This window comes from Homo sapiens, unplaced genomic scaffold, assembly GCF_000001405.40.
Source record: "Homo sapiens unplaced genomic scaffold, GRCh38.p14 Primary Assembly HSCHRUN_RANDOM_CTG2".
Lineage (NCBI taxonomy): Eukaryota > Metazoa > Chordata > Mammalia > Primates > Hominidae > Homo > Homo sapiens.
Window position 1 is genome coordinate 58,930 of NT_167208.1, and position 20,199 is coordinate 79,128.

At 41.3% G+C, this 20,199-nt stretch overlaps 1 pseudogene; it reads right to left on the reverse strand.

Annotated features, from left to right (window-relative positions):
• Nucleotides 1-6,889: 6,889 nt before the first annotated feature.
• The window catches only part of LOC100288929 (coxsackievirus and adenovirus receptor-like), a 30,178-nt pseudogene continuing 16,868 nt past the window's right edge, over nucleotides 6,890-20,199 (reverse strand).

Sequence of the window (20,199 nt, forward strand, 5' to 3'; positions counted from 1 at the left end):
TATTATACTTCAGACATGTAACACAGTAAGTGTCCTGGAGAATCTTGGTCTCTTAGTCTGTATAATAACATAAGCATCTTTTGTGGGATTAATAGTTTTTCCAAAGCATGCCTGGAATTTTTGCATAATATTCTAGTGTTTAAATATGTTGTTTATTGCCAGGTGTAGTGGCTCACGCCTCTAATCCCAGCATTTTGGGAGTTCAAGACAGATGGATTGCCTAAGCTTAGGAGTTTGAGTCCAGCCTAGGCAACACAGGGAAACCCCATCTCTACTAAAATACAAAAAAATAGTGAGGCTTGGTGGGGTGTGCCTGTATTCCCAGCCACTTGGGAGGCTGAGACAGGAGAATTGCTTGAACCTGGGAGATGGATTTTGCAGTGAGCTAAGATCGTGGCACTGCACCCCAGCCTGGGCAACAGAGTGAGACCCCGTCTAAAAAAATGTTGTTTATCAAACCATTTTCATCTTTGAAACATTTCAGGTCTCCTCTTTGGCTTTTTTGCATTATAAATAATACTGTGATAAACATCCTTCAGCAGAAACCTTCATAGGCTAGCTTCCTAGAAGTAGAGGTATTAGGTCCAAGGTTTTGAATTGTTTTAAAGCTATTGATTTATCTGGATAAAATTGCTTCCAGAGATATTGTCCCATTTTGCATTCCAATCAGTGGAACTCACCTTCAGTATTTTGTGCAATTAAAAAAAATAATGTTTCTCCTTTTAAAGATTATATTTAAAATAGCTTTTAAATGTGAAAAATTTGTATCTACAAATAAGAGATAGTGACAAAAAATAAATAATAAAATAAACACAAGAGCAGAAAGTAGATTGAAACATTAAAATTCAAATCACAGGCCTCTGTTATGGAGAAGACAGCTGCAATAGCTTTTTTGTTCTTTTATCTACATTGGTAGATTCTTCTTTTAATTAATTTTTACCCCAACTTAAGTGCTGGCTGGGTTGGCAATTTGTTGCTGGGATGGAAAGAAGAAATGTGCACCTTGTCTTTTGCAGGTTATGAGAGCCTTGTCTGTCTTTGTGGTTGTGTGGGTGTCTGTTAGATTATTGTGAATATTGAGCTTTGAAAATAACCTAACAGTCAATCAGCTGCTGAGCTTCTATTACCAGTAGTGGGACACAATGTACATCATGTAAATAGGCAGACTTGTCACTCACAAGAGGGCTGACCCCTGGAAAGCCAGCACAGAGCCAGCTTTTCCATGTGAATCCACTCTCTCCAGAATATAACATAAGTCATGGAAAGAAATAAGAGTCTCAGGAAATGAGACTCTTACCACGATGAGAGGTGAACCTTGAAAAGCTATTTTAGCAATTAGGAAGAGAAGTCCCCTTTTGCATCCCAAATTAAGTAGAGGCCTGCTAGTCCAAACATAATTACTGAATAACCTGAGTCACCTGGGCCCTGAGGACTCCTGGCCTCTTAGTCCACATTTGCAGAAATATCAGGAGGTCAATCAGGAAGCTGGTTAGGCAGCTCAACACAGGGTCAGAAAGCTCCTAGGCATGCAAATAAATGTGCACACTGGAAATTGAGTTCTGCAATTTTTCCATGACCTAGAAAGCTATGATGATGAAAATGTTCTACATTCATGCTGCCTAGTTCAGTAGCCACTAGCCACATGTGGCTATTGAGTAATTGAGATGTGGCTAGTACAACTGACCAGCTAATGTTAAATTTTGTTTTATTTGAATTAATTTTAATTTTAATAGTCACCTGTGGCTATTGGCTACTGCACTGGATAGCACAGAGATGAGAAATAATAGAAACTTTTTTTGTTGTTGTTTCAATGGCTAACATTGTCAAAAGCTGAATTCCTGTTTCATGTAAAATTTTGGTTTATATTTTCTCAAAGAAGTGAAGTACAAAAAACAAAACAAAACAAAACAAAAGGATGATCAAGCAGAACTTTGGTAAGGAAGGGTGAAGCAGAGACACTTAATTTGGAGTGGGGACAACAGCAATGACCTTGTTTGAAATGCAGCTCCTGTCTGTGTGGCTATCTGTGCTCTGTTCAGGTGTCAGTTCTTCACTTCTTAGTTAAAGCAGTTATTTCAGCTGTGCAATGCTTTTTTGTTCAATAAGCATGATTTTTTACACAGCTGGTTTATCTCCAGTATGGAAACTTTCTGCTTAATCATCTTGATTTCTCTGGGCTTGTTCCCACTCTGCATATGTAAGCATGACACTTGTATCTCTCTCTCCAGGCTCTGATCTAGGATGACAGTTTCTATGATGTGCCCATCTACAGAAACACGCAAATTGCAACTTTAGGAAGAGAAAAAGAGGGCCCTGCAAAAGGCATCTACAGGCCCCATGTGCTGTTCACATTTCTTATTTATTGGTGAAGTGAGTCCTCATCCATTTATTGGACAGTTGCAAGCAAAGGAATTAACTATGACAATTCACCTTGATGTACAACAATTTAGTCTGTTTGGAGTTTCCACTGTTGGAAAATACCTAGTTATCCTAATTAAGAATAGTTATAGATAGTATAGTGATAGCCTTTTTTTTTTTTTTTTTTTTTTGAGACAGGGTCTTGCTCTGTCACCCAGATTGGAGAGGGGCAGCACGATCATGGCTCACTGCAGCCTCAACCTCCCTGGGCTCAGTGATTCTCCCACTTCAGTCTCCTGAGTAACTGGGAATACAAGCACATGCCACTGTGCCTGAATATTTTTTCTATTTTGTTTTGTTTTGTAAAGATGGGGTTTTGCCATGTCACCTAGGCTGGTATTGAACTTCTGGACTCAAGTGATCCTCTCTCCTCAGCCTCCCAAAGTACTTGGATTACAGGTGTGGACCAGCATGCCATGCCTATAGTGATATCTTTAAGTAACCCTCTCTTTTCTTCTTTTGAGCAATTTTTCAAAGCAACAGGCATTTTATTAAATAAGAAAGTCGATGTGCTTTCCTAATGCCTGTTAATAAAGTAAAGAGCCAAGGAACCTCTGTGATTTCAATGAAATCCCTCCAGATATTATAGGCTACTTGTTACTGACAAGTATGGCAGGAACTGCAGGTCAAGCTGTGATAGGCAAATAGATCTTGCTGAAGAGGAAGAATGATTGGCTAAGATAATGCCCCAGGACAGCTGGCATACCTTTAGACACAGCTAAATTGAATGCTTTCTGAGGAGGAGTGTATTAGTCTGTCTCACACTGATATAAAGACATACCTGAGAATGGGTAATTGAAAAAGAAAAGAGATTGAATTGGCTCACAGTTCTGTGGGCTGTACAGACTTATGCTTATAGGGAGGCCTCAGGAAACTTACGATCATGGCAGAGGTGAAAAGGAAGCAAGCACATATTCACATGGCTGAAACGAGTCAGGGGAGGTGCTACACACTTTTTAAACAAGCAGATCTTGGGAGAACTTTATCATCAGACAGCACTAGGGTGATGAGGCTAAACCATTAGAAACCACCTCCATGATGCAAACACCTTCCACTAAGCCTCTCCTCCAACACTGGCAATTACAATTCCACATGAGATTGGGGATGGGGGGTGCACAAATCCAAACCATTTCAAGAAGCATTTTAAAAATTTAGGGAAGTTCTAATCAGATGGCAAGTCAGGATAGGGCATTCCATCAACATAACACTCCTCTCAATACATGCCAAAATGAGAGAAAGGAAAAAGTGCAAGGATGAAGAAGGGACACAGCAAAATGACAAGATGACTAACAAGATGACCCCTGTGGAAAGCATTTACTGATTCAACAACCAAATAATGAAGAAAATAAGAGCAAATTTGCTGAGTTTCTATGCTGTTTATGTTTATTAGGGAAGGGCAAAAGCCAGTCCCTCGACATTGTTACTGTTAATTAACATCATCACTACCTGCTCTTAAGTGTCTAGATACTTTCAAGAATCTAGTATTATCTTCACTTAAATGTTTCTTGGATGTGCCCTGTCATGAATGTGATATTGCAAAAAGATTCTACATTAACCACAGCAAGATGGCTATGTAATAATTGGGATCACTTTAGGGGAGCATATTTCTACCACATTTTGAGATGGAAAATGAAGTAAAGATATCCATTTGTCAATTTCTTCTACATTATGCCAAACATTCAAAGAGATTATTTTATTTATTTCAAAGATGTATACATGTTGAAATTAAAATTTAAATTAAGAAAATTTATTAACTGTGTCAAAAGAAAAGTAAGCGAGGCAGTTCTGCATGCCCTGGAAGTGTCAGGCATATATGACTAAAGTATTCGGCATTTGGCCAGGTGTGGTAGCTCATGCTGTCATTCCAGGATGTTGAGAGGCCGAGGCAGGTGGATTGCTTGAGCTCAGAACTTTGAGACCAAGCAAGGCAACGTGGTGGAACCCCATCTCTATGAAAAATATGAAAATTAGCCAAGCATGGTGGTGCCCACTTTTTAGTACCAGCTACTGGAAAGGCTAAGGTGAGAGGATCATTTGAACCCAGGAGGTCAAGGCTGCAGTAAGCTCTGGTCGCACCACTGCACTCCAACCTGGGTGAAAGAGGGACACCCTCTGCCCAGGACTCTTGGGATATGACTATACCCATAGGGATTGCCCTCAGTAACCTCACATTTGAGTGGAAGTGGAGATCATATGTACCTATACCAATATGTAGTGAAAAAGGAAAACATAAGAAATCATGGCAGAAATGGCACAAAGTATAAAAGAGGCTTGGTATAATTGAGAGAGGCTTTCTGGTGATAAAATTTGAACTGATTTCTGGAGAATGGGTTGAATTTCAATAGAGGGAGATGGACCAAAGTTAATTCTGATGAGGGAAATGTCTTGAGCAAAATCTAGAAAAGGGAAACATGCCCATTTTAAGTGTTAATGAGGGTCCAGTTGGGGTACAGTGCAGGAAGAGAGTTCTAGTGAAAAGGTAGTTGGTCTGATGGGTCAGGGTCTTGCAGGCAGAGGCAGATACTATCATTATTTCATTTTTCAGATTGGAAAACAGACACAGAGAGCCCAAGGTCACAAAGCCAGAAAGTGAATCTGGGCAGTCTAGCGGTAGCACCCTCTTCTTAAATGATCTATTAAAGGGCCTCTTCTCCAGGCACTCTAAAACTGTTCTCCATCTTTAGCTTCCCCAGAGTACAGTGAGGCCCCCTGTTTACCTCACAGGATGGGGTCTCAGAAAAGCAACAGATCCCAACTCATACTAGCTTTTAAATAAAAAAATATATAACCTTGCAAAAAAGAAGTGCAGAGGTTGGGAGAGAGCCAGCACTGGTTAATTCAGCAGCTCAACAATAAATCCAAGACCTGGGTATTGGTTCACCTCTCCACACCACCATCCTCATGGGCCAACTTCTACCTTCTCCTGAATGCTGTGTCTTTGCCTAGTTTTCTCCCTGATTGTAGCTCAAGTGCTACTTCCTGGGGGCAACCTTTCCTGCCTCCCTCTTGGGGTCAGTCCGCCTTCCCAGGCTCTTGTAGCACCCCTGGGTCTGCTGAACTTTCCCTTATTACATAATTCTGTGACTAATGTCAGCTCTTTCTGTTAGACTCTCAGCTCCACTAGAGAAGAAATTCTGTGCATGTTTGCTCACTATTGAACCCTGGAGTCTACTACTCAAATATTTGTCAAATGAGTAAACGGTAGCTCTGTGCAGGGCCAAGGAACACAAGAAACATGCAATCTGCCAAAATACTTATTACAGCTCACTCTCCTCTGGTGACATTTCCCTGAGGCACATTCCTGTTGGTTTCTTCCCCTCAAGAAGCATTCTTCTTTCTCCTTCCTATAAAAGCCAGGATTTTCTCAGATAGCCACACCATGCCCCATGCAAAGAGATCTGGATTATTCTACCATCTTGAGGCATTTCTGTGGAAACTGCTATCAGTCCAAGTGGCCCATGACCTAAGCTGACCCAAGCCAACTGAAGGGAGGACGTATTCTATGCATGCTGTGCAGTTCCACAGGGTGCTGGTTGTCCCAGCTGCTGCTGGTGGTCTTCATGTAGCCAAGGTACCACTAGTGCATATGGAGAAAACAGAACAACTGGAGAGAAACTGAGTAGGTAAAAGTGGGCAGGGCTTGGTGATGTTTGGGGATATGATATGAGCGATAAGACAGAGGATGGTCTTAGGAAAATCTCCTGTATTTTCCTTTTGGACAATGGTATAAATGAATGAAAGTTCCAATCGCTGGGATAGAAAACACTTGGAAAATATGAGATTCATTCAGGCAAGCCTTTCATACACTATTCCATAATCAGTTTCATAAGTGAAAGGGAGTCAGAACTCATTTCTACCTTGTTTGCTTCTATCATACTGTGTTGTACCCTGTTGGATCTACTTATCACATTCCTCCTGCTAGTGGACTTACCTACTAATGTTTGCACTTCTTCCTTGCCAGCCTGGAACCTCTGAGACAGCAGGAGCAGTGTGTGTGCATGCATGTGTGTGTGCACTTTTGTGTGTGTGTGTGTAATTGGATTCCCCACAGCACATTATTGTTTTATCCATAGTAAATGGTGGATGAATATTTGCATGATTTAGCTGGACTGCAGCATTGTGGAGGTCAGATAACCACATTTTGATAGACAAGTTGCATTCTAACCTTGAAGCAGACAAAATGCCCATTTTATCAGCCTCGCTCACACCAGCTGTGCTTTTCCTTTGTGGTTGTATGTTTAAGGAGCTCATCTAACAAGCTTCTTAAAAAGGGGATTGGCCTCAGGCTGCATGGCAAGGTGACTGTGTCTTTGAATATCCCAGATGGAGGCTGGTCACCCTTTTGTCTTTGGGTGAATAGACTACTCGGGAAGGCAGGGATGCATGCACCCCCCCTTTCTTGTTAATGAGTTTGCAATTTATTTTGGCAGATCTAAAATAATAATTCAAAGGCAGTGTAGAAGAAGATGGGGACATTACTTTCAATTGTTTAATATTGTTATGACATGACATGTGCTTACAGAAAGAGAGGCAAGCCACCATCTTCAAGGGAGGGCATAGTCATCGACTGTGATCCTGGTGTCCATGTTGGAATATCATGGCAACTGTCTCCCAGCACTGAACTCGATTACTTCTGCTGCATTCCCAGTGTTAGCTGAGTTGCTTAATTTACTTTCTTCAATGCCATGTGTGAAAGGGAAGCTAGAAAACTGCACTATGTATGGCTTCGTGCACTGAAAATTTGACATTATCAAAGGAGGCATGATCTTGTCTCTCTCTATCCCTCTCCAAATGTTTTCTATAATTATATTCAGAGGCTCATGGGTCTTACCATGGGTGATCAAGGAAGGGCTGGTAACTCTTTCAACCACAGGTAAAATATTACCAACATCTGAAACCTGCATTTTTACAGGTGAGAGAAATGAGGCCAGAAAAGTTAAGTGCATCATGTTGAGTACAATTTTATTTGGTGATCAGGCAGCCCTGGGTTCAAATCCTGGCTCTGTTGCTACCAATTAAGCCACTTAACTCCATCTGAGCCTCAGGTTGCCCATCTGCATAATAAGCAGTAACAGCAGCTGTCCTGCAGGACTACTGTGAGAATTACAACTCAGGTAATGATCATGATATTTCTTGGCAGAGGTGTTCACTACCTAGGTAGTGTTATTATTATTATGTCTAAAGTCACAAAGGGAGTTTTTGAGAAAGCTGGAATGAAAACTTGTTCCTCTCAACACTGAGCTTATTAGAGCACACCGTTTTGCTTGAATAAAGCAGCCCTGGAGTCTCTCAGGGGAGGGTGTTTGTAACATCTGCTCAGGCACGGTTTCATTTGCTATATACCCAGAGACTAGCACTGTACAAGTTGTTGGGAGATACTCATGTGAGTTGGCAGACTTTTGGTCAAATATTTTCCCTAAATCCAGGTCTCTATGGCATTCTACAGAACACTCTGCATCCTTCTAAGGGACACTGGAAGAGCAAATGGATTGTACAGTGAGTTACAAATAAAATGGCTAATCTCAGCATGAAAGGCTGAGGGTGTTACCTGAATGAGGATGCAGACCCTCCATCTACATACAAGCAAACCTAAGTGACCATGAGCCTGCCGGAAAGAAATCACATGCTATGTAAAGGCTTAGTAACAGTGATGAATATTTGAACCTGAACTCCAGCTCCAGAGCAGTTCAGTTGCATCTCTTCCAGGAACAGAAGCCAAAGCAGCTCAGGATTCTTGAAGGCTCTGAAAGGTCAATGAGAATCCTGGTATATGTCAAGACTATCCCACCAAAGAAGGGCTCCATGTGTAGAGACTTAGAAAGGATTCCCAACCTTGGCCCCTCCAAAACCAGAAACAAAGGTGGGGGACAGCCCAATTAAGTGGCCCTAGAGATTTGCCCAGGAGCTGGAGCCCTCCGGAGAAGTCCAGTTTTCCTATGCAGGGAGAGGACTGGGAGTTCTCTGGTCACAAGCCTTCTCCCTTTGTTTTCATGAAGCTATGTCTCTTACCTGGTAAGAAAAATGGAACTGCAGGCAGCTGCTGAAAACTTTAACCAAAAACCCATTGATGCTGGCACAAAGAAAGGAGGCCTGAAGAAAACAAGTGGAAAAGGGCTTGGAGTAACTGAGGTCAGCTGGATTCCTTAAACACTGCCCAGAGCCCTTGAAGCCAACTAAGGGCACACTTCTCAGGCCTGCTCCGAACCACACTCAACTGGGAATCTTTTAAGGACAGCTGCTCTGTTAGGCTTGCCTGAGATGGTGCAGTTTTACCCCGCGGCGGCAGAGGCACAGACAGTTAAGAATGCAGGAGCGGGGCCTCACAATGCCTTGGACTAGGGCAAAGGAAGACCCCCGCCTCTCCCCTCCCGGGGCTAAAACATGGGAGGACCCGGACCCGTGGATCCATTGACTCCGGTACCAGAGGATCCCCGCTCTCCAGCGCCCTAGACTGAGGCAGGAGAAGACCTCAGACCCACTCCGCCCTGAACTAGAGCACAGTGGGACCCGCGACCTGCCGTGGCCTCAGGCACTGGAGGACACCTGCAACGCCGTGCGCTAGACTGTGCTACTGAAGGACCTCTCCCGCGGCTCAGCCCTGGACTAAGGCACGGGAGGATCCCCGCCCTGTCCCGCCCCGCGGTGTCCTGGACTGTGCCACTGCAGAACCCCCACCCCTCCACACCCTGGACTCTGGCTCCCGAGGACCTGGGCCCCGGCTCGCCCTGAACTACTCCTGCCCCTCAGCGCCCTGGACTGTGGTTCCAGAGTACCTGGTCCTGCGGCAACTTGGGCTACCACGTGGACTCCAGGACCCCAGTCCTACCAGGCCCTAGACTGAGACACGGGAGAACCTCTGACTCGCCGCCCCCTGGACTAGGGCACCAGAGGACCCACACCTTGCGGTGCCCTGGACTACAGCACAGAAGGACCCCCGATCCGCCAGGCACTGGGCTCCTGCACAGAGGGACGCCCGCCATGGAGGTCTGGACTACCCCTGCCCCACCGCACCCTGGATTACTGCACGCCAAGACCCTCACCTGAACGCGCCCTACACTCTGGCATGGGGGAACCCGGCCCCGCAGAGCCCTGGACTCTGACATTGGAGGACTCCTCGGCTACGTCCTGGACTCCTGCACAAGAGGACTCCTGCCCTGCCACACCCTGGACACCTGCACTAGAGAAACCTGCCCCGTCGCCCCCTAGACTATGGCACGGGAGGACCCTTGCCACCGACTTCGGCACGGTAAGACCCCTGACCCGCCTTGCACTGGATTCCAGCACTGGAGGACCCCCTGCCACGGCGCTCTCTGGACTACCCCTGCGCCACCGCGTCCTGCACTACAGCACAGCAGGACCGCCGTCCCACCGCGCACTGGACTGAGGCACAGCAGGACCACCACTCCCACATGCCCTGGACCACTGCAGGACAGGTCCCCCACTCCGCCGCGCCCTGGAATATGGCACTGGAGGACCCCCGTCCTGCCGCTCCGCGGACTCCACCACCGAAGACCCTCGCCCCCCTGCGCCCTGGACAAAGGCACGGGAGGACCCGGCTTCACCGACCCGTGGGCTATCGCATAGGAAAACCCCCACCTCCACCCCCACCCCGCGCCAGAGACTCTGACAAGAGAGGACCCCTGCCCCCTGCTCCCCGGACTACAGCAAGGCAGGAACCACCTTCCTCCAAGATCCTCACTATGGCAACTGTGGACCCCCGCCCTGGTACGCCCTGGACTAATTCACCAAAGGACCCCGACCCCACAACGCCGTGAACTCCAGCATTGGAGGACCATTGCCTTACTGCGGACTCAAGCACTGGACTATCGCAGGGCAGGATCCCTGTCCCGCCATGCCCTACACTATGGCACGGGAGGACCCAGCCTCACTGTGCTCTGGACTCCAGCACCGGAGGACTCCTACAAGGAGGACTCCGGCTCTGCCACGTCCTGGACTCCTGAACAAGAGAACCCCCGCCCCGCTGCACCTTGGATATAGCAAGGCAGGAATCCCGCCCTGTCGCGCTCTGGACTGTGGCACCTGAGGATCCACGCCCCAGCGCGCCCTGGACTACTGCTCCGCAGGACTCCTGTTCCACCGCACCCTGGACTATGGCACCAGAGGACCCAGCTCCCCGCGACCGGGACTAAGGCACCAGAGGACCCAGCCCCCTGGCGTCTTGGACTATGGCGCCAGAGGACCCAGCCCCTCGCATCCTGGACTATGGCACCAGAGGACCCAGCCTCCCTGCGTCATGGACTATGGCACCAGAGGACCCAGCCCCTCGCGCCCTGGACTATGGCAGCAGAGGACCCAGCCCCTCGCATCCTGGACTATGGCAGCAGAGGACCCAGCCTCCCTGCGTCATGGACTAAGGCACCAGAGGACCCAGCCCCCTCGGGCCCTGGACTATGGCAGCAGAGGACCCAGCCCCTCGCATCCTGGACTATGGCACCAGAGGACCCAGCCTCCCTGCGTCATGGACTATGGCACCAGAGGACCCAGCCCCTCGCGCCCTGGACTATGGCAGCAGAGGACCCAGCCCCCTGGCGTCCTGGACTAAGGCACAGTAGGACCCCGCAGCATCGTGTACTCCTGCACAGGAGGACCCTCGCAGGGCTGCGTCCTGGACTGAGCTACTGAAGGAGCCTCACCCCTGCCTCACCCTGGACTAAGGCACTGGAGAACTCTTGCTCTGCAGAGCCGCGGACTCTTGCAGGAGAGAACCTGCGCCCAGCCGTGCCCTGGACTGTGGCACAGCAGGGCCCACACCGCGCCATGGACTCCTGTACTGGAGGAAGAGTAGTGACAAATGTCCAGGTTTACAAGTTGAAAAGTAGCAATCAATGTGTTACAATGGATGGATTTGATGTAAAATTACAAATGCTGAAAACATTATGTGTAATTGCCTAGCCAGATCAATTACACAAGACAAAGAAATAAAAGAAATCCATATAGGGAAGGAAGAGGTAAGATTGTTTCTGTTTTCTGAAAATATAATCTTAAGATACAGAAAATCTTTTTTTATTATTAATGTTCTGTTTACTTATTTTTATAATATTTTATAAATAAACTTTATTCATATAAAACAGGCCAAACATCTGACATTCAAAAATGGCTACTATTATAAAATCAGAAACATAGTCAGAGTGTTGGGAATATTGAAATTTCTAAATCTTTATGAATAACACAATCACTTACGTTATATCCACAAAGAACAGAAAAGAGGCAAGCTTGAAAATGTGAGGATAGAAAGGTGTCACAGTGATGTGTTTTTAGAAACAGTACCTTCACCTCTAAGCACCTTTCAGGTAGGTGATAGCTAGCTCATAGGCACCAGAAATTCATAACAGAAATTAAATTACCCAAAAGGCACAGAAGAAAATGTTAACACAAGTATAAAAGTAATTTTATGTAAGATTAAAACCTATTTTAAAATGCTTCCAAATATGTAAAACTATAGACAAATCCATTACACATTCAGCTTAAGTTTACCATTAAAAAGTGTACACACAATACTCTAACTGTAAATACATGCCACTGTTTATAATGTAGCATTTACCACCACAGCACCCAAAGATATTAACAGAAACCAACTCCCTACTAAAATCTAGGGAAAGGTTTTACAGCTAGTGAAATAATTTATTGCAGACCGTATTTATTATAAAGAAACTGTTGGCTCATTCTACTGTATCCACACTCCCTCACAATCTTAAGGGAAATACAATAAATCCACTTTCTTCTCCTAAAATGATATTTAGCACATTTGGCAAGGAGGAGTAGTCCCTTTACTCCTTCTTCTTATCTTTTTTTCTTTTTCTTTTTCTTTTTCTTTTTTTTTTTGAGAATAAACCACTTTCACAAAACTAAGACTCAAACTTTTTCAAAGCTCAGCTTGATTTGCTGGAACTACACAGAGACATGCTTGATCACACAACAGCAACTGTACATCCTCCCACGTCTGGAATACAGAATTGATGGAGGACACTTACTTGCTTAAAATATATTTGATTATTCTGCATTTATGATAAAAATATCATCAAGGGATCATATTCAAGAGGGTAAATTTAGGATTACATGTTTCTAGAACATATAATATGTAATGCCATGCCAAACCAACAACAAACAACATAAAGCACTGAAACTGAAGAACCACTTAAAATTTAGAATTAGGAAATTTCAATCTATAACTGTCAAACAATAAATGAGTTATAATATTTTTCTAATAAGAAAAATATCACCTAAAGTGGAAAGCCAGTATTTAGTCCGGAACTATGAGATACTACATCCTTGATCTGGCTGGCCACCATTTTAAAGACCACCACAGATCTCAAGGCATGAGACCACTCACCAACAAAATCTATCCCTGCTATTGCACCTAGTGTCATCTCAATATGTGGCTGACAGCAAATGTTCTAACTTAATCTGATAGATGCTCCTTTAGCATATAAAAGAGCTTGCTAAGTCCCTATTACCTGTAGCAGTCTATCAACTAAATATTTAAGAAATCATTTCATAGACAAGGTTTATGAATGACTTAGAAGTAAAATTAGTAATTTCTAAACCACTGTAGAGTTTTCTATGTTTTTAGAGATATTCCTAACACAGAGTTTTCCAAGGAGCTGTGAAAACAAGTACAAACACACATGTGTAATTTTGTCATGGATGTTTCTGTACTAATTTGGGGGAGACTAGTGGGCCATAAATAAATGAGATACACATCCTAAAAATAATGGTAAAAATTATCAAGTACCACTTTCAGATGGTTACTCAAGTATCAACTTGGTATGCAAGTAAGTTCACCAATGTCTTCACTTATGATTTCATATTCAAAGTGCTACATCTTACTTAGGTACTGATAAATTTAGAAACCTTTATAATCAACCTCTTAAAGAAAATCCAGCTTTTTCCGATGGTAAACTTGTCTTTACTAACTTTAATGCCTGTAACTATTTCGATATAACCAAAGAAAAATTTAAAAAAATATATTCCTTACAGCTCCTGATTAACTTATTTTTGGATACATTTTGAGGCTAGTAACAAAATTTAGACCAGAATAGGTTTTCATATATCAAAAAAGGAAAGGAACACGGAGAGCACAGATGAGACGTATGGAGGCTCTATACTATAGACCCATCCTTGCTCTGTGCGGGAATCATCACAGGAATCACGCCCATTCGACTTAGATTAGGGGCAGCTACCTTAGCAGGTGGGAGAGTCGGACTCTGAGGAGTGCGTTCAAAGTCTTCACTCGGTACTTGTTTATACTGAGTCTTGGAATATCCTTCCATGTTGGAAGGAGACATGGATCCCAGGGATGAATGATTACTGCCTATGCAGCTTCTGGCAGCGGACGTACGGCTCTTTGGAGGCGGCACATCTTCCCTGATATCGTGATGAACTTACTTTTCGTATTTTTCTTCTCTGCGCTTTTTACGACAGCAAAAGATGATAAGACCAATGAGCACTAGAGCAAGCAAAGTTCCTATAATGGCTCCTGCAATTAGTCCAGCTTTATTTGAAGGAGGGACAACGTTTACACGCAACAGGCACTGATCAGAGCCCACTCCGTTTCTGATGTACAGCTGTATGTCCCAGAGTACTCAGAAGAAGCATTTTTTTTACAGATATAACAGATGAAGTCATTTCTGCTAACCATGAAGTGGGCATTTTCTGTGAGTCAGACAATTTTTGCCACTCATACTGTAATGGAAGTGAACCTTCTTTTGGTTCACATTTTAGTTTAAAGTCACTTCCAATTTCTTCTGATCCATCAACATAACATCTTGTACCTGAAGGCTTAACAAGAACTACCAGCTGAATCTTCTTATTTGCAACACCAGGAGCTTTTTTCACTTTGCACTGATCTGTGCCAATATCTGACAGCTGTAAATTCGTTACATTTATTGAAGCATCACCAGATTTGAGATCATTTCTCTTAAAATGTACTCGGCCTTTCAGTTCTGGATAGTTATCATCATAAATTTTGTTTCCAGAATATAAAATCATCACTTGATCCATCTTCTGATTATCAGCTGGTGATATCAGCCACTCAATGTCCAGTGGTCCCTGGTCTTCAGGACTAAGCATAATTTGCATGGCAGATAGGTAGTTTCCCCTTTGGCTTTTTCAATCATCTGCTCAGGAGTAGTGATACTCAAACTTCTGGTGAAATCCGCGACTCCGCACAGGAGCACGAAGCGCAGCAGGAACGCCATGGTGGCTGCCGTGCCGTGGGCGGCGGCTGCAGGTAGGCGGCTCTCGCTCCAGGTCCTAGGCTCCCCGCGCCTCGCGCACTCAAGATAGAGAAAATCTTAAAGACTCCACCAAAATAAATGGTTAAAGCTGATAAAGAAATTCAATAAAGTTAATAGTTACAAAATCAACATACAGCTAGCATTATTGTTTCTATACACTAATGACAAACTATTACCTGAAAAATAAAGTAATAAGGCAATTCAATTTATAATAGAATCAAAACAGATATAAAAATATATAAAAGACTTAGGAGTAAATTTAATCAAGAATGTGAAAGATTTGCACACTGAAAACTATAGCACATTGATGAAAAAAATTAAAATGGCATAAATAAATGGAGAAACATCCTTTATTGATGGATTCAAAAATTAGTATTGTAAAAGTGTCAATGCTACCCAAAGCAATCTACAGATTAAATGCAACCACTATCAAATTCCCCGAAATAGAAAAATTACTGCTAAAATTTGTATGGAACCACAAAAGACCCCGACTAACCAAAGCAATCTTGAACAAAAAGAACAAAGCTGGAGGTATCAGACTACCCAATTCCAAACTATATTACAAAGCCATAGTAATTAAAACAACATAGCAGTGGCATAAAAACAGACAGGTAGAACAGTGCAAAGGGATATAGAACCCGTAAATAAGTCCGTGTGTCTGTGGTCAACTGATTTTTTGATAAAATGACTAAAAATACACAATGAAGAAAGAAAATTATTTTCAATAAATGGTGTAGAAAAAACTGAATATCCACATACAGAAGAATAAAATTTGACTTTCCTTTTGCTCTTTATACAAGTATCAAATCAAAATTAAAGACTTAAATGTAAAACTACTACAAGGAAATATAGAAGAAGACTGTATGACATTGGCCTGAGCTATGATTTTCTGTAGATTATTCCAAAAGCACAGGCAACAAAAGCAAAAACACACGAATGAGATTGCATAAAACTAAAAAGCTTTTCCACAGGAAAAGAAGCGATAATAGAATGAAGAGAACCCACAAATGGGATAACATTTTTAAACCATACATCAGATAAAGGGCTCATATAATAATATATAAGTAACTCAACCTACTCAAAAATAAGAATAAAACTATGCTTATTAAAAAAATAAGCAAAGAACCAGAATAGACATTTCCTAAGGCATACAAAAGGCCAACAGGTACATGAAAAAATCAAAAACATTTCTAATTATCAGAGAAATGCAAATCAAAGCCACAATGAGATATCACCTCACACATTTTACTAAGGCTATTATAAAAAGAGACGGAAGATAAGTGTTGATGAGGATGTGGAGAAAAAGAAACCCTGTACACTGTTGGTAGGAATGGAAATTAGTACAGCCATCTTGGAAAACAGTATGAAGTTTCCTCAAGAAATTGTAAGTATATTTACCCTATGATCCATCAATCCCACTTCTGGATATATGTCCAAAGGAATTTCAATCCGTATGTCAAAAAGAGACATCTGCAATTTCATGTTCGTTGCAGCATTATTCATAATACCCATGAATTAGAAACAACCTAAGTGCTTATCAACTGAAGAATGGATAAAAATATGTGGAAAAATTGGAACCCTTCTACACCACTGGTGAGACTTTAAAATGTAAAACAGTCTGGCAGTTCTTCAAATGGTTAAACATAGAGTTATCACATGACCCAGCAATTCCACTTCTGTGTGTTTACCAAAAAGAAAATAAAACAAATGCTACACAAACAGTAGTACACAAATGTTTATAGCAACACAAAGTAGAAAACAACAGAAATGTTCATCAGCCGAGGAGTGGATAAATAAAATGTGGTGTGTCCATAAAACAGAATCTTATTTAGCAAGAAAAGGTAAAAAACTGTTAATGCATGCTCCAAAATGGATGAACATTAAAAATACGTTAAGTGAAAGATGTGAGTAAAAAGTGACTATGTGTTATTATGATTCCATTTATGTGAAATGTCCAGAATAGGCAAATTCATAGTCAGAAAGTAGACGAGTGGTTGCCTAGACTAGGAGGGGTTTAAAAAAGGCTGGAGAAAATGGGGAAGATTGCTAATGGGTGCAAGTCTCTTTTAAGGAGAATTAAAATGTTCTAAAATTATATTATGATGATTATTTGTCCATCCAGTTAATATACTAAAAGAATTTGAAGTTTGTACTTTAAATGAGTGAATTACACAATGTATAAATTATATCTCAATAAAGCTGTGGAAAGTTAAAAGTATATGTAGGATGCATACAAAAATACAGCTTATCTTTATAAATGAATGAAATTCTGTCATTTGCAAAAACATGGATGGATTTAGAGGACATTATGCTAAGTAAAATAAGCCAGACACAGAAAGACAAATATCTCTTAATATCACTTATATGTGAAATCCAAAACTGTGCACTCATAGAAGTTAAGAGTAGAATGGTGGTTTATCAGAGGCTGAGCAGGGTGGGGGGCAGGGGTGGAAAAAGGGGAAATATTCAATGGGATAATGCTTCAGTTAGGAGAAAGACATTCTGGTGATATGGTGCACAGCAAAGTGACTGCAGTCACTTATAATGTAGTGCATATCTTAAAAGTGCTAAAATAGTACATTTTAAATGTTTCACCATAATGTAATAAATATCTGAGGTGAAGGATATGTTTTTTAGCCTAATTTGTCCATTTCACAATATTTACATGTATCGTACCACATTGTACCCTATATATATTTATTTATCAATAAAATCAACATTTTAAAAAGTGAGAAACACAGATGTGCTAGATCTTCATCTAAAGACATTTCTGAGAAAAATGTATCTGTTTTCTTTCAAAAGAAATTTACACTTAATAGATATTATAGTAACTAAAGTAAGGCAGATAATTTCGGCCATCAGCTTATATTATGGGATAATCTCTTTTTGCTGACCTTGTAAAAGCTGTGGCATATTAACAAGTAGGAACATTTTTTTATCACGATCAGGTAAAGGTTCTGCATGTTTCTATTTTGAATAATATTTTCCCCAGGAATCACAAAGTGTGAATGCCTTTTATTTCAGAGGTCTAGCCCTAAATGGTTTAGTCAATTACATCATGCATTCTGAAATAAGTACTGGTGCATTTGGGAAGGTACCATATACAATTGTGTTTTAAATTTAACTATCATATAAGTCTACTTTTCTAGTTAAGAGTCTATATTTTATAGAGGCCCTCCATATATATAAGAGCTTTTCTGATAGTATACCCATTAGATTTCAAAGATAAGTAAAGGAACAATTTTGCTTTTATTTTTTATTATTATTATTTTTTAAGGCTAGTCAAGTGAAGCAGTGGGAGTGGAGAAGGAACTGCTTTCATTTTTATATGTTGGTGTTACAGGCTATATGTGACAGGCTATATATTTTTATGCTGAATTTTAGAAACAAAATGAAATATTTATTTCATATTTCATTAGATTTAGGGATGATTACATTGAGGGGTTGGGACTAGACTGAAGGCACCACATCATCAATCACTTGGAAACAATATTTTGCCTATGTGTTATGTTATATTGACAAAAACTTTTATTGTTGCAGGCAATATATCTCCCTATTGAAATATGTGAAAAACGTAGAGAAAAAAAGACAATATTTGTTATCAAGGGATATTTAGGCCTGAGATGCATGATGCTAATATTCAAAACATACACTTTTTAAAAATTAGATTTAAAATGTAAATTGAAGCAGGACATTTAGAAAAAGACATAATATCTACTATAAAAGTCCTGGGTTAGAAAAGTTAAAATGCTAAATGAAAAAATAATGCTTCTTGGGTGGCTTAGAATCGAATATGAGACAAAAGATTACTCAGAAATTTTTCTAAGATTAAAAACATGTATACAGTTTCTTTGATATAAAATGAAATAAATGTCTGGATATAACTTTAACAGAATAGAATAGGGAGACAAGGGCAAAGAGCAGGTGTATGCAGAATAAAGTGAACATATTATTGTAATAATGAGAGGGACAGAGTTGAATGATTGCTCTTGGAGACAAGGGATTTTGATGTCTAAGTTAATGACAAATCTTTTGTTTGCAAGTTAAAAAATGTAACTTAAACCTGGTGAAGGAATAAAGGGTGGTTGGGGGGATGATTCTTTGTACACTAAACTTATTTTAATGACTAATGAATTAATCATAAGTTCAAATGATTTTATGGAGGCCCTTTCTTTATTTGATATTTCTGGACTCCTTTTTTCTTTGTATGTGCTCCATTTTTACCTACTTGAACAATTTTTACCCTCAAAGTTTAGGAAACACTGTAACCAAATGTTCCAACATGATGTAATCCCTGAAAGCATTTGCAGCTGGGGGAGTAGGGGAAAAGGGGTTTCTCTTTCAACAAATGCATGTTAATCTCAGTGAAAACTCAGAAGTTTAAACATGGTCCCCCTTGGGTCATGTGGCTACCCCAGGACCAATCATTGCACCAGACATAGGAGATAATCTCAAAAGCCAGGTTGGAGTCAAGGTTCTTCAGTGGAATTTCCACTTTAGAAATCAGTTTTGTCAGGCTTTGTGTTTGCATATTACAGACATGATAGCCATATAGCTATCTATTCCACTTCCGGTAGAGATGAAAACCTAAGAGCATATGACCATTCAAAGGATTTTACATGAATCTTCATAGCAGCTTTACTTGCAACAGCCAAAACCTGAAAACAGTTCAAATATCCATGGACAGGTGAATTTGTGATTTATAAACTTACTATGGTATCTGTATATAATGAAATAATACTCCCTAGTAAGAACAGAACAATTGATAGATGTAGCAACATGAATAAATCTCAAAAATAGTGATGCTGAGTGATCAGAAAGTATACGTACCCTATGATTTTATGTATTTGGAAATAAAAACTCATGGATAGTGACTGGAAGTGGATCAGTGGTTGCCTGTGGATGGAATGGGGATAGGCAGGAAAAAGTGAGTAGAAAAAGCACAAGGAAACTTTGGTGGTAAAGGTAATGGGTATGTTTGCTATTTTAATATGTTGTTGGTTTTGTAGAGCTACAAATGCCAAGAATTATCAAAATGTACAATTGAAGTATGTGCAGTTTATTGCATGTAAATAAACCTTTTAAAAATTAACTGATACAAATTGACTTACATGACCAGAAAGCTCTTGAAAAACTCTCCTGTTTTCTCCCCTATTTTTATTCTTGCATGCCCTTATAGCCTGTGTTAACACATTTCTCATCTTACCATTCTTTTGTGTCTACATTTCTCCAGGTCAATATAACTACCACCATAATTTCTTGGTTTCTCTTTAGTTCATTAGTAATTATGAGTAATGTATTGAAATGTTAAAGATATGTTCATGCATTCAGAATCCTCTGCTCTCTGATCCACATAATAGTGAATTATGCTGTCAATAATTACACAGTATAGTGCTTTTTTTCTTTTTTGAGACAGAGTCACACTTGGTTACCCAGGCTGGAGTGCAATGGTGCATTCTGGGCTCACTGCAACCTCCACCTCACGGGTTCAAGTGATTTTCCTGCCTCAGCCTCCTGAGTAGCT